The sequence below is a fragment of the Homo sapiens genome, chromosome 2, assembly GCF_000001405.40.
Source record: "Homo sapiens chromosome 2, GRCh38.p14 Primary Assembly".
NCBI lineage: Eukaryota > Metazoa > Chordata > Mammalia > Primates > Hominidae > Homo > Homo sapiens.
The window spans coordinates 15,323,418-15,338,325 of record NC_000002.12 but is presented as its reverse complement, the minus strand read 5'-3'; the positions used below and the strand labels follow the sequence as shown (position 1 = coordinate 15,338,325).

At 37.8% G+C, this 14,908-nt stretch overlaps 1 protein-coding gene across 11 annotated transcripts in view; it reads left to right on the top strand.

The window, feature by feature from the left end:
- Positions 1-14,908, top strand: part of NBAS (NBAS subunit of NRZ tethering complex) — a 782,426-nt gene that overhangs the window by 223,009 nt on the left and 544,509 nt on the right. For all 11 annotated transcript variants that reach the window (XR_007076390.1, NR_052013.3, XM_017004317.2 and 8 more), the window contains 3 exons: positions 7,561-7,728; positions 10,014-10,127; positions 10,456-10,576. Coding sequence is in view for 9 of the 11 variants with exons in the window: in XM_017004317.2 (XP_016859806.1) it covers positions 7,561-7,728; positions 10,014-10,127; positions 10,456-10,576 (403 nt within the window). In the remaining 2 variants the exon portion in view is untranslated. The remainder of the gene's footprint in view (positions 1-7,560; positions 7,729-10,013; positions 10,128-10,455; positions 10,577-14,908) is intronic.

Below are 14,908 nucleotides of genomic sequence, written 5' to 3'. Positions count from 1 at the left end.
GAGTGGTAGCTGTTGAGCTCAACCTAAACTATTTGTAATCCTTGCCTAGTTTATATGTGCCAACAGCTCAGTTTACAGTAGGCCAATAGATTTCTCAGAAATTAACCCTTATTGCCAGACATGGGAGAAAGTTACTCCCAGGTAGATAATTTGTCATAGTCGTTGACCAACAATAATTCTTCCTGTGAGTCACACTTGACACATGGCACTATCCATGTTCTTGTGAACTTGTTTGGTGATGGTGTCTGTTGTTACAGGATTTGAAAAATATTATTAGTGCTTAATAAGCTAACCTTTGAGCTGTGTAACACACTTTACATTAATGAGATTTCATGTTAAATTTTATGCTGGGAACCAATGACGTGGTTTTGAGGTTTAATCTATTTCTGCTGTTATACACTCTAAATTAATTAGCAGTGTGCCACTATGAATATAAAAAGTGGCAGTAGTAATCATTTCGGGGGTAAGTTTTGCCTAACCTCTTTTTTCTTTCTCCATTATATGAAGTTAAAAGAAATCTATTTTCTTCATTAATGTTTCTGGTTAAACTATGATCTTGGTAGACTGCCCCCCAAATTAAATGTTGCTTCTGTGGTCCAAATGAGCCTTTCATTTTACTTTCTCTTTCATGATTCTCATTAGGAGAAGCTCTTACAGAAAATCCTTTTATCACATTCATTTCTGAGCATGTGAATTTCATTTATCTTCTGAAACAAACTTTTAGGTTTCATACATTTTAAGTCTCCTATCTTGAGCTAGCCCATCCATTTGGACAGAAGCACAGTTTAGGTCCATTTTATGAAATAGAATCATTGTTTTGTGGCCTACATTTTTCTTTTCTTTTTTTTATTTTTATTTTTTAACTTTTTATTTCCATAGGTTTTTGGGGAACAGGTGGTATTTGGTTACATGAGTAAGTTCTTTAGTGGTGATTTGTGAGATTTTGGTGCACTCATCTCCCGAGCAGCATATACTGAACCCAATTTGTGGTCTTTTATCCCTCACCTCCTTCCCACCCTTTCCCCCTGAGTCCTCCAGGCTGGAGTGCACGATTATAGCTAACTGCAGCTTCAAACTCCTGTGCTTAAGTGGTCCTCCCTCATCAGCCTCTGGAGTAGCTAAGACTATAGGCACATGCCACCACAAAAAAAATTACTTAATTTTTAAAATATTAAATATAAGATTTAAACAATTAAATGGATTTTTTAATTGTTTGTAGAGATGAGATCTTGCCATATTGCCCAGGCCAGTCTCGAACTCCTGGCCTGAAGTGATCCTCCTGCCTCAGGCTCCCAAACTAGTAGGATTACAGGTATGAGCCACTGTGCTGGCTTAGCCTGCATTTTTTATTGATATTTTTCAATTGGTTTCATTTACCTCTAAATGTAGTTGTAGTCTGCTTAAGTGCCATAATTCTTACCATATTTATATTTTCAGTTCTATACTTGGATTAGTTGATGACTTTCAAATCATTCAATACATCCTCTCAATTTAGAAGATTCTACAGATGAACAGGAATTGAAAATGTGACATGAAATCTTTTTTAAATAACATTTACCCACTCTGAATACAACATATGAGACTTTTTTTTTTTCCTATATGGAGTCTTGTTCTGTCGCCCAGACTCGAGTGCATTGGCGTGACCTCAGCTCACTGTAGCCTTTGCCTCCTGGGTTCAAGCAATTCTCCTGCTTCAGGCTCCGGAGTAGCTGGGATTAGTGGTGTGTGCCACCACACCCGGCTAATTTTGTGTTTTTAGTAGAGACGGGGTTTCACCAGTTGAGCAGGCTGGTCTTGAACTCCTGACCTCGTGATCTGCCCACCTCAGCCTCCCAAAGTGCTGGGATTACAGGCGTGAGCCACCGCACCTGACCACAAATGAGACCTGTGAAAATATATCTTCAAACATTTAATCAGCACAGTAAAAGCAGACTTCTTACACCTATATATAGATCCAAGCAATAGAGATTTTTCACATACTCTGAGGCTATAGCAATGAATAAATAGTGTCTCTGATCTTGAATAGCTCACTGTCTAGTTGGAAAGAACAACAAAAAAGTAAATATCAATATATTATGGTAAGTGCATTAATAGTATGCATGTAATATTTGAGTGGGTAGAAGTGTGATACTGTCTTAAGATTTTACTTACAGCAAAAATATTACATGTCAAGGAAAACTTAGAACATCTTTTTGATCTTGGAACAGGCAAAGATTTCTTTTTTTTTTTTTTTGAAATGAGGATCCCTGTCATCCAGACTGGAAGGCAGTGGCATGATCACAGCTCACAGTAGCCTTAACCTCCAGGGCTCAAGCAATTCTACTACCTCAGCCTCCCATATAGCTAGGACTAGAGGCACGTGCCACAATGCCTGCGTAATTTTTTATTTTTTATTTTGTGGAGATGGGAGTCTTGCTTTGTTGCCAGGCTGGAGATCTCTTAAATATGATACAAAAAGTACTAATCATAGTTAAAAACTGACGAATTGGACTAATTTAAAATTAAGAACATCTGTTAATCACAAGACATCATTAAGAGAATGAAAATGTAATATACAGAGTAATAGCAAGTATTCACAATTCATGTATCTAATAAGGGATGTGTATCCAGAATATATAAAGAGCTTGTATAAGTGAATAAAACAGATGGATAACCATTAGAAGAATGGCAAAAGACTCAAACAGACACTTGACAAAAGAACGTGTTCAAATGGCCCAAAATATGCAGAAAGGTGTCCAACTTCATTAGTCCTGGCGAGGTGCACGTTAAAACCACAAAGAGATACCATTACATAATTACCAGAATTGCTCAAATGAAAAAGACATGAAATACCATTTGTTGGCGTGGATGTGGAGCAACCAGAACTCTTACAATTGCTGGCTAGTGTAATAACCACTTTAGAAAATATTTGGCACTATTTACTAAATCTGGACATATGTATATTCTATGCCTTAGCAATTCCACTGCTAAGTATATACCCAAAATATAATTACCAGCATGTCAGGGCAGCACTATTGGTATTATCTTCAATCTGGGGACTACCCAAATGCACATTAATAGAAGAAAATATAAATAAGTTCTGGCATGTTTATTACAACATGATATGACATAGTAATGACTTGAACAATTTTTTTTTTTTTTTTTTTTTTTTAAGAGAGATGAGGTCCCATTGCATTGCCCAGGCTGGTCTCAATCTTCTGGCCTCAAGCCGTCCTCCCACTTTGACCTCCCGAAGTGCGGGGATTACAGGCGTGGAGTTGAACAGTCTTTAACTACTCTTAAAATCTGAATGAATGTTTGTTGAGTGAAAGAAATCAGAACAAAAGAGTACATGATTTCATTCATATAAAGTATAAAAATAGACAAAATTAATTTATGCTGCTGCAAGTCAGGATAGTGTTTGTTTTGGCAGGGTTAGTGACTGCAAGTGAGCTCAAGAGGAGCTTCTAGGATTCTGGTGGTGTTATGTTTCTTTGCCTAAGGGCTTGTTACATAAGCGTGTTAAAATATGTTAAACCATACAGTCATTTGATGTGGCTTACACATCAATGAAAAGTTGTTTAAAGAGGATACCATGGATTAAACACAGGAAAGGAGAATATATGCTGGCTGTAATTGTCTTTGCATCATGGGGCTGTGAATAAATAGTATTCTTTTTCTTTTGCATACTTTTTCTGAATTTGCAAACCATCTTTAGTGAATTTGTATTAGTTTTATAACACAGAAAAATAAATGAGCTTAAATAAATACAAATATAAATGTGCATGTAATATTGCCAGCGTGTCAAAATCCTGTAAAGAACAAGTGAACACTTTGATGCCAAATTGGCTTAAGGAGAAGAGAGGCGTGGTGGCTGACACCTGTAATCCCAGCACTTTGGGAGGCCGAGGCGGGCGGATCATGAGGTCAGGAGATCAAGACCATCCTGGCTAACACGGTGAAACTCCATCTCTACGAAAAATACAAAAATTAGCTGGGCGTGGTGGTGGGCACCTGTAGTCCCAGCTACTTGGGAGGCTGAGGCAGGAGAATGGCATGAACCTGGGAGGCGGAGATTGCAGTGAGCCGAGATTGTGCCACTGCACTCCAACCTGGGTGACAGAGCGAGACTCTGTCTCAAAAAAAAAAAGAAAAGAAAAAGGAGAAGAGAGGAGGAGACACCTCTAGGCCAGTTGTCTGTAGGCAGCTTATTTAACTTATTTGTTCCTCAGTTTACTTTTGTGTCAAGTAGTATTATAATTTTTAACACTTTTATAGTGTTACTGTAAAATTTAGGGATGCTTGTATGAAACACTTAGCTCAGTCCTGGACATATAGTAGGTGTTTAATAAATGGTAGCCATTATGTTTCTTATATATTATAAATAAGATGCTGGACTTTACTGCTGGTAAATAATGTATCTAGGTCTTTGTTTCCTCTCTGTACGAACCTGGTCCTCTGTATTCCTCAACAACTTGCGCGGCTCTTCTTTTTTTTTTTTTTTTTACCTCCACTGTATCTAACCTTGCTTCACAAACAATTATAGTTTATCTGTTACTGACTTTCCTTCCATTTTTTTTTTTTCTTTCTCCCAGATCTCCACTAAGTTCCAGCTTGGTGATCTTGAACTTTCTTTGTTAGCTGATTGGATGGAATTTCTCTACTTGTCTGATTTATCTTGGGCCCTTTTTACATTTATATGAATTAGGATAAAAACATTTAAATGTAATATATACATTTAATTGGAAAATACCTTGTGATAACTTCATTATGTTTCCAGTGTCACTACCTCAATTCAGTCGCTAATTATTTTAAGCTGGGACTGAGGCAGCAGTCTCCAAACTGGATTCTTGCTCCTGGAATAATGTTACTGAAACACAAATCTGATTGTTACTCCCTTTGTTTAAAGCCTTCCAGTGGCTTTCCCTTCCCTCTAGTTGACAATGGAGGTTCTTTGGCGTGGTTTATAGGTCTCTTGCTGGGCTTACCTCTACCTTCTTTCATCCTCATGTCCTGCTATTTCTCTTTCTGTGCTGCGTTCTGTGGCTTTGCTGAGTCACTTAAGATTCCTCTATTTTGCCGTGTTTCAGAAGTTGCATCCTCTTAAGTTGTATTTTCTTCCTGAAATCATTTTCACCAGTTCTCTGGAAACTCTCAATTTTTTCCCACTGAAAGATTACCTTCTCTGCGAAGCCTTCTGTGATCGTGCCTCCAGGCAGAGGATATAATGATCTCTCTTCGTGTTCTGGTAATACTCTATATGTGTTAATACCTCTCGTATAAAAGTTGTTATTATTTTGTAATTATTTCTCTATATCTCTGCTTTCCTTCCTATTTTCTGAGCTCCTTGAGGGCAGAGCCTGTGTCTTACTCCTTTTTGTCACCCCATTGCCTAGTAGGAGATATGTAAACTGAGAGAGAAAATGAGTTCATGTGTGGAACACCAGCTATAAGGGAATTGAGGAAATGTAGTTTTTAGCTTCTCAACTTCTAGCAACAGTAAGACAATCTGTAAGGGGGTCTGAGTGGAGCTGAGTGAACTAAACTGTAGTATATGCCACAATCTGGAACCCAGGAGGAGGCACTGTATTTTATTGGTACTCAAACCTCAAGCAATTATTTTTTGCATTGTTGCCCTGATAGTATACAGGCTTTTTATATGTTTTTTTCTTTATTTATATGTCATTCATTTTTATATGTTGTTTTTTTCATAATTAAATTATAGTATATAATATTGTATTGAGTTGATGGTTTTTGCACTTTCTAATGCCCGAGAAACCAACAAGAAACAATTTTATTTTTTTTTTGCATGACCAAACCGGTTTAGAATACGTATGGGCAACCCTAAACAACAGCCAGTTGGGTAAATTGTAAGCATTGGTTAATATAGCTTACATATGTTTTCCCTTTAGAAGTAAGAATAAATGCATTTATTTGTGTCCTAACATAATATATTTGTTTTCTGTTGCTGCTGTTGTATATTACCACAAACTTTGCAGCTTTAGAACAATACAGTTGATTATTTTACCATTCCCATGTGACAGAAATTTGACAGACTTGGTTGAATCTCTTCTTAGAGCCACACAAGGCCAAAATCAAGGTGCCGACAAGGCTGTGTTCTTTTCCAGAGGCTCTGGAGAAGATCTTGTTTCTGTGCTCATTCATGGTGTTGGTAGATTTAATTCCTCATGATTGTAGGACTGAGGTCTGCATTATCTTGCTGGATGTCGCCTGATGGCTGTTCTCAGTGTCTACAGGCTGCCTACATTCTTTGGCCTGTGGTTCCCTTTCTTCCTCTTCAAAGCCAACAACTGTGGGTTGAGTTCCCTCCTGCTTCAAATCTCTCCTGCCTCTTCCTTCATGGCTTATCTCTGACACTCACTCTCCCTGATCCTTATTGAGAAATATCCTCTGCTTTAAGGGCTCTTGTGATTAGCTTGGTCCTACTCAGATAATTCAGGATAATCTCCTCACTTCGAGGTCTGTACTGTTAATCACACCTACAAATTTTCTTTGCCATGGCATGTTACATAGTCACAGGTTCTAGGGATTAGGATATGGCTATCATTGGGGGCCCATAATTCTACTTACCATATATGGCAACTGTCAGCTTGATCTAAAAGAGTGAGTTTTAAGTATTTGTTATGTGATGATGCCCGGGTAATTAATTGATTACATGATTTATTACTTTATTATTACTTACATTGTGTCTTAATGAATAACATGATATAGATCTAAGTAGCCAAACTAAGCTATTACGTTATCCTTCTGTGATCACAACAAGCTATTGGTATTGATAAACTAAGCCTTAAGGTTTTCTTCTGTTTAACTGAGATTCTTAAGAAAAAAATAGTAAGTGGAAGTGGATAGACACTAAACTAGGAAGTTATAGAACAAATAATATTTTTCTTTGACTAAATGCAGATATGGTCTTCATCCTTTCTGTTTAAAAGACTGTAATTAATGTATTGACATTTTCTCCTCGTGGAATCTCTCAGATTAGTAAATGGAGAGTGAGAATTTCAGCTGATTGCTTCAAGATTGGCAGGAGGTACCGTACACATTATAAACCCATCAAACACTATTAATTACCTACTTGTTTAGATGGGAAACATGCCTTTTAATAGTTAAAGGTTGATTGTCTGAATGTTCTACTTCTTTCTGGGTCACAGTGGCATTATTCAGATGAATAATTTATTTCTTAATTAAATAATAAATACTTCAAAATGTATTGTCAAGGAAACAAATATGAGTATCTCATGGTTAGGATATTAGATTGGTAAAAAATAAAATACCAATTATTTGCTTTATAAGTACTTCTGAGGGATTATTTAATACACTATGGGGTTTTTCTCTTTTCCCAATTCTATTTTTATTTTTTGGCAAATGATTGAGAGAGGAACAATATGTTGATAGTGCTCTTTTAACATTTATTTTGTTACAAGCAAAGTTGGATGGATTTTTAAATGTGTCTGTCTTCAAGTTTAATATCTGATCATTTTAAGCAGTCACATTATCACTGTCTTCTCTGTTCTTATGGTAATGCATTTTTGCCCTTGCTATTTTGTTTCTTTAATACAGGATGAAGTAGGTGTTCCAGGTAGCAATTCAGCTGACCTATTGCGCTGGACCACTGCTACCACCATGAAAGTCCTTTCCAACACCACAACCACCACCAAAGCGGTGCTGCAGGCCGTCAGTGATGGGCAGTGGTGGAAGAAGTCTTTAACTTACCTTCGACCCCTTCAGGTAAGCAGTGCATCTTTCTTTTTAAAATCAACTGCATGGTTTATATAAATTCATTAGCAATGTTTCAGTTGTTTTCACTGTTATATCTTTATCTTCTCTAGATTGTTAAAACAATCTCTTAAGAAATGTAGGCCTCTCATCAGATAGGGAGTAATCTCTTTTATAGAATGTAATATATTCCCATGGAGTACTTGCAAAGGACAGTAATAGAGATTTAGGTAAGGCTCGGTTTATATATCAGAATTTAGTGTGATGAAAAGAAAAATTTTATCAATGCTTACTTGCTTTTGCTATTATTTCTACAGACTGGTAGTTGAGGAAGAGTGCTCGGAGGCAGACTGGGGGCTCTCAGGAAGGAGAACAGTTGAACAGATTCTTGCTTCCATTCTGGAAGTCAGTCAGGGCAGGCAGTAGAGCAATTGAGTTTGCTCTGCATTCTCATACTGCAGTCCTTTAATCTCACACTGGAAAACAAAGAGGAAAAACATACAACTATTAGCAGTTCACCTCAAACAAACACTCCATGTGCATCTCATTCATTCATTCAGCAAATACTTATTAGGCATTATTTTCCTGTCAAATGTCCTAATCACTGGGAATATGGTGAAGAAACACTTCAGTCTAATTCCCTTCTCCTGTGGAACTTAACATGTCAGTGAGGGAGACACAGAAAATACATATTTGTATAATAATGTAATGGCAGGTAATAACAAGCATGACAGAGATAACATAAGCAAGGTGGGTAAATACTGAGGAGGGAAGTTCTGATTAAGATAGAGAAGTTAGGTTTTTCAGAAAAGGAGTCACTTCGAGCAGAGATATGATTGAACCAAGGAGAACAAATACAAACTCTAGCTCCCCTGGACTGGGGCAGCACACTTGACATCTGCACAGAACATAAAAGGGGCCAGTGTGGTCTGAGCTGAGTGAACAATGGGGAGAATGGTAGGAGATGAGATCAGAAGGTGGTGGGGAGGCCCATCATTGAGAGCCTCATGTAGACTGTGATAACGACTATAGATTTTGATTTTGAGTAAGATGGAAAGCTTATGGAGAATTTCAGCAATGCAATTGTGTGATCCAACTTTACTTTTACTATGCTCATTTAAGTGCTGTAGAAAGAGAAGAAAAGAGACAGTGAGATCAGTCCTCCCGGTGAGAGAAGTGGGTAGTTTGAACCATGGTAGTGATGAAGGCAGTGGGAAGAGGTTGGTTTGGGGATGGGATATATTTTTTAGACCTTCTGGTGGTCTGGATGTGGAAGAAAGAGGAGACCTAAGAACAATGGTCCAAACAGTTGGATAAATGAAGATGCCGTTTAGTGAGACGCTATTAAATCTCAGCTGTAATTTTTATCATTTGCAGCAGCAGCTTCATCGTTTCCCTAGACTATGCTTGGCATAAAGTAACCACAATAAACCTTGGAGGAATGGGTGAATTCCTTTTACTTGGCTCTTCCAGTAAGGAGCTTTACAATCTATTTGGAGAGAGCAAAACATAATTAACTATAATCTAGGCATACTAAAGTTCTTGCTACTCTGCAGTGCTGGTAACAAGTCTCAAAGCCGTGTGTGGGGTGGTAGTTGTGAAAGAGATGGGGATCATGAAAGGGACACAGTCATATATCATCTTGCATCCATCTGTCAAGGATTCAGCAGGTAAGGTCTGAACTGGGCCTGAAAGGAAAGTTAGGATCTAACCAGGCAGTCGGCATGGCAGGACCCTCACAGTGGGAGAGAAAGACATAGAAGCGGATAGGATGCATAAAGCAGGCAGTTTGGTTGAGGTGGAAAGTTAGCCTTTAATGTTAGTTAACATTTAACAACCTCAAATGATGTTCCACATAGTTTAGTTGTTCGGCTGTTGGTTGTTTGCCTTGTTCAGAGCTACTAAAGGATTTTTAAGGAGGGCAGCAACACAGACAAGATGACGTTTTCGAGTGGTTATTCTGACTGTAGTATAAAAACTCACCATATGAACAACATCGATTGCTTCAGTGTTTCTAATTCATTGATGTCAAAGTGACCAGGAAAAGAAAAAGGCACTGCAGGGTGGGGTTGATGTGCTGCTCTTAGCATGTAGTTATGATCCTTCATTCTCTGCCGGATATGTGTGTGACTCTGGCTCTCTTTTTAGGTCGTGGGAAATGCAGCAGGCATTACCAGTTTCTTTTGAAATCAGCCTTTTCTTCCTCCCTCTCTCCCTTCTTTCCTTGCTTTTACTTCTTCTACCTCCTTGCCTTCTCTTTCTTTTTATCCATTGTTCTGTACTTTTTTTCTTTTTAGGGGCAAAAATGTGGTGGTGCATATCAAATCGGAACTACAGCCAATGAAGATCTAGAGAAACAAGGGTGTCATCCTTTTTATGAATCTGTCATCTCAAATCCTTTTGTCGCTGAGGTAAGGACAGCGTGTCTAGGAAGATAGATTTAACTGTCATGCTGTTGTAGACAGTAGAAACAAAAACTAAAATTTTCTTGAAAATATACTTATTTGTCTTGGTTCTTACTCATGTTATTCATTGGTTTTTACATTTTTTTGGTATATATTATGACCATTATGAGATTAAAATCTGTTTAAAAATGTTTCATAAAATAACATGCTTTAGTTTGTGAGCAGTTATTATTCAAGTCACCAGAAAACATAACATCCTATAATTGTTTTCTAAGCATATGTTTGTAGGACAAAAGGCACCCTACTAGATAGTGAAACTGCTTCTTTTGTGTAGTCTGAAGGGACCTATGACACCTATCAGCATGTTCCAGTGGAAAGCTTTGCAGAAGTATTGCTGAGAACTGGAAAATTGGCAGAGGCTAAAAATAAAGGAGAAGTATTTCCAACAACTGAAGGTAAGAGAGAAGGTTCTAGTCCCTTGACAGTGTGTAACTCTAGGTGAACATTGTTAACCAAAAATTTGTGAATGAACAAGAGTTTGGAAAAGAAATTTTTCAGTAATTTTGAATTGCATAACTTGACATCATCATTCGTTCATTCATCCATTTATTAATTTTGTTTAAAACACTTATTGAGAACCTGCTATTTTCAGGATTTGTACGTAAATTGAGGATTTAAAGGGATGAATATCATTCCTATCTTTAACTGGCTAGTTATGTAAAGTGATTCTCCTAGTGAATGGAAAAAATGCTCAATAAAATTTATTTCCTGATTTTATGCTTAATAGAATGTAGATCATATTTGATCTTCAGAATTTTCTGCTTGGTGGAATATCTTTCCATGTGGAAATTTTTGAAAAGAATTAAAGGCATGCAAGTTTACCGAAGACAGCTTACAATTTATACCTTTTTTTCCTTTAGCCTCCTTCTTTTTAGGTTTCTAGGATAGTTTCTTTGACTGTGTCCTTTGAATTCCCCCTCTCTCTGCTCTGCCATCCTTAGTGAATATCTCATAATTCAAAGGCTGCTGGAACTTCAGCTATCTTGTCTATATTTCAGATGTCAGCGAGGAAGAAAAGGGTGAAGAAAAAGCAGTTTTCTTGAAAGTCCTATCCACAGCTTGCACTTATTATTTTATTACTTATTACTTTTTATTGTATTACTGGCCACCTCTAACTGCCAATAAGCCTGGGCAGTGCCGTCTGTTAACTGAGCACGTTCCTATGTAAAGTAAAATTTGGGAAAATGCATACAGGGAATAGAACTGCTAATTCCCCCCAAAAGCTGATACTATAGCTTATTTTAGATGTTTTTTTCTATCAATCAGTACTCACATGCTGCTGGAGAGAGGAGAGGCAAATACCACTTCCCTATCCACTGTGCGGGTCCCTTGAACACTAGAGGTTTTTACTAAGTATATCATATTTCTTCAATTCTGAGATGCATGTTTTTCTACCTATCCTTCTCTAATCAGGGCATGTATCACAATTATGGATATATTTATGTTTCTTTTCTTCTCCAAAAAGCTATTATTAAATTTATGGTACATCTTACATATGTACCATACATATTACAATTACAGTTGAAATTGAATATATATGAAAAGTATAGTCATGTTTCTCTTTCCCTGTTTAATTATTCTTTATTACTTCTTGCTTTTCTTTTTATTGTCTTACATCAGTTGCTCATGGATTAAATATGAATGGTTATCAAGGTAGTTTGTACAGATAGAATCTGAGACCTTAAGAAAATACTAGGTTGGATGTGGACCTATTATTTGGCGTAATAACGGACTGAAGTAATAACCAAAACATTCGCAAACATTGGTTTATACGATATTTTTATTATTTAGTCTATAAAGTGTGAGCATACCTTGTTTTATTGTTCTGTGCTGTATTGCACTTTGCAGATACAGTGCTTTATAAAAAATTGAAGGTTTATGGCAACGCTATGTCAAGCAAGTCTATCAGAACCATTTTTTCAACACTGCTCATTTCATGTCTGTGTCACATTTTGATAATTCTCACAGTATTTCAAACTTTTTCGTTATTATTGTATCTGTTACGGTGATTTGTGATTAGTGATCTTTGATGTTACTATTGCAGTTGTTTTGGGGCACCATGAACTGCACCAATATAAGATGTAAACTTAATTGATAAATGTTGTGTGTGTTTTGACTGCTCCACTGACCAGCCATTTTCCATCTCTCTCCTTCTTCTTGGGTCTCTCTGTTCTCTGAGACACAACAATATTGAAATGAGGCAAGTTAATAACCCTATAATGGCCTATAAATATTCAAGTGAAAGGAAGAGTTGCATATCTCTAAAGGAAAAGCTAGAAATGATTAAGCTTAGTGAGGAAGGTGTGTTGAAAGCTGAGAAAGACTGAAAGCTAGGCATCTTGCCCCAAATAGTTAGCCAAGTTGTGAATGCAGAGGAAAAGTTCTTGAAGGAAATTAAAAGTGCCACTCCAGTGAACACGCAGATGATAAGAAAGCAAAACAACCTTATTGCTGATGTGGAGAGAGTTTTAGTGGCCTGGATAGAAGATCAAACCAGCCACAACATTCCCTTAAGCCAAAGTGTAATCCAGAACAGGTCCCTTTTACTGCCTTTAATTCTGTGAAGGCTGAGAGAGGTAAGGAAGCTACAGAAGAAAAGTATGAAGCTAGCAGAGGTTGGTTCATTTTGAGAAATTGCCACAGCCACCACAACCCTCAGCAACCACAATCCTGATCAGTCAGCAGCCATCAACATTGAGACCCTTCACCTGCAAAAAGATTAGGACTTACTGAACGCTCAGATGATTATTAGCTTTTTTTTTAGCAATAAAGGATTTTTAAATTAAGATATATGCATGGTTTTCTAGACATAATGTTATTGCATGCTTAATAGACTACAGTATAGTATAAACACAACTTTGATATGCACTGAGAAACCGAATAATTTGTGTGATACAGTTTATTGCAATATTTGCTTTATTGCAGTAGTCTGGAACAAAACTCACAGTATCTATGAGGTATGCTTGTACATGTATGTGAATTTGAATACCTCTCATATAAAAGGTATGGTTTACAAAAAGGCAAAATAATGGAAGCACATAGTTAAAGGTCTTAAAGATGGCTGCTTTCTTGGAGTAGACTCTCTCAAACTGATTTCTCAGTGTATTAAGGCTTCTGATATTTTCTAGTGCTGTTTTTGGAGAAATGTTGAGTATGTAAGCAATTAGGCCCTTGAGAGGTGCATATTTCTGGGTTAGTCGGCCTCCTGTTTTCATAGAATCCTTACAGTGCTCAGCCATCTTTGTTGTAGTTGATAACTAAATGATGAGACATCAAAATGATCTTGAGAAGTAAAGCAAATAGTGACGTTCTCTTGTGGAGCTTTAGGGAGTGGGAGAAACATACTTGAAGATGACTAGGGATCTCTTCCAGTTCCCTTTCTAACTGTGTGGATATTATTCACTGAAAGAGAGGTCCTCGAGCCACCTGTGTGCTAGCCCTGTCCTAGGAACTTAGAATATAAAGTAGGAGACATTGTCCCTGCCTTCAACGGGCTTATAAAAGAGTTGGGGAGACAGATTTGTGAGTGACAGGCGCTATGATAGGCAAACCCAGAGGCACTGGAATTGTAGAGTGGCAGCTGAGGGAGAAGGTGTTGTGAAGAGGCCTTCTGAAGCAGCCGATATTTGACTTGGACTTGGAAGGATGAATAAGGGGAAATAGATAGAGAGATGGGTTTGGAGGAAGAAGAAATGGGATATTTTAGGAAGAGGGAATAAAATTCATAGAGGCAAAGAAGATTTAAAACTTCATGATTTGTCAGGGATTTGTAGGCTATTCCAATACCTGGAGAGGAAGGGTATGTGTGGCCAGCCAGTGGAGAGATGAAGCGATAGTAGGCTGAGAAGAAATGCAAGGCTTTGTGAGTGAATTTAAACATTTTGAAGGAACCCTCTATCAAAAGCTGTAGGGATTTCAAGTAGAAGAATATTATTCCATTTTTCTTTGCTTCCATTTTCTTATCTATAAAATGGGCATAATAGCCTGAATGTTCTGTCCTGGGCTGTTGCTCTCCGATGGCACCCTGATGTGCGCCTTCACTCACACTGGTCCCCTGACCTGCATGATTGTCCTCGCTACCATCTTGCCCTTTACTCGATCCAATTAGGATTTCACAATTTTTTCAAACTTACCTCTGTAGTTCTCCTTCCTGGTTATACTTTAGAATCTCTTAGGAATTTTTAAGAAATATTGTGGCCCTAGAATCCGTTGTAGGTGATTTTTTTTTTTTTTTTCAGAAACTGTGGAGTTGGGCCCGGGTTTTTTTGTTTTGTTTTGTTTTGTTTTTTGTTTTTTTGTTTGTTTGTTTTGAGACAGGGTCTTGCTGTGTCGCCCAGGCTGGAGTGCAGTGGCGTGATTGTGGCTCACTGCAATCTCAACCTCCTGTGCACAAGTGACCCTCCCACCACTGCCTCCTGAGTAGCTGAAACTACAGGTGCGCACCACCATGCCCAGCTAATTTTTTGTTGTTGTTAATGCAGAGACAGAGTCTCCTCGTGTTGTCCAGGCTGGTCTCAAACTCCTGGGCTCAGGCAGTCTTCCCATCTCAGCCGCCCAGAGCACACCTGGCTCATACATCAAGTTTTTTCTAGAGAACCTCAGGGAATTCAGTTGTGAAACCATAGTGAAGACTGTTTGGAAAGTTTCACTTCAGATATTAGGTTCTCCCCAGCCTCATGTGTCCATTCTTCATACTGAGACTTAACTCTCTGAGCTTCTCACCAGGC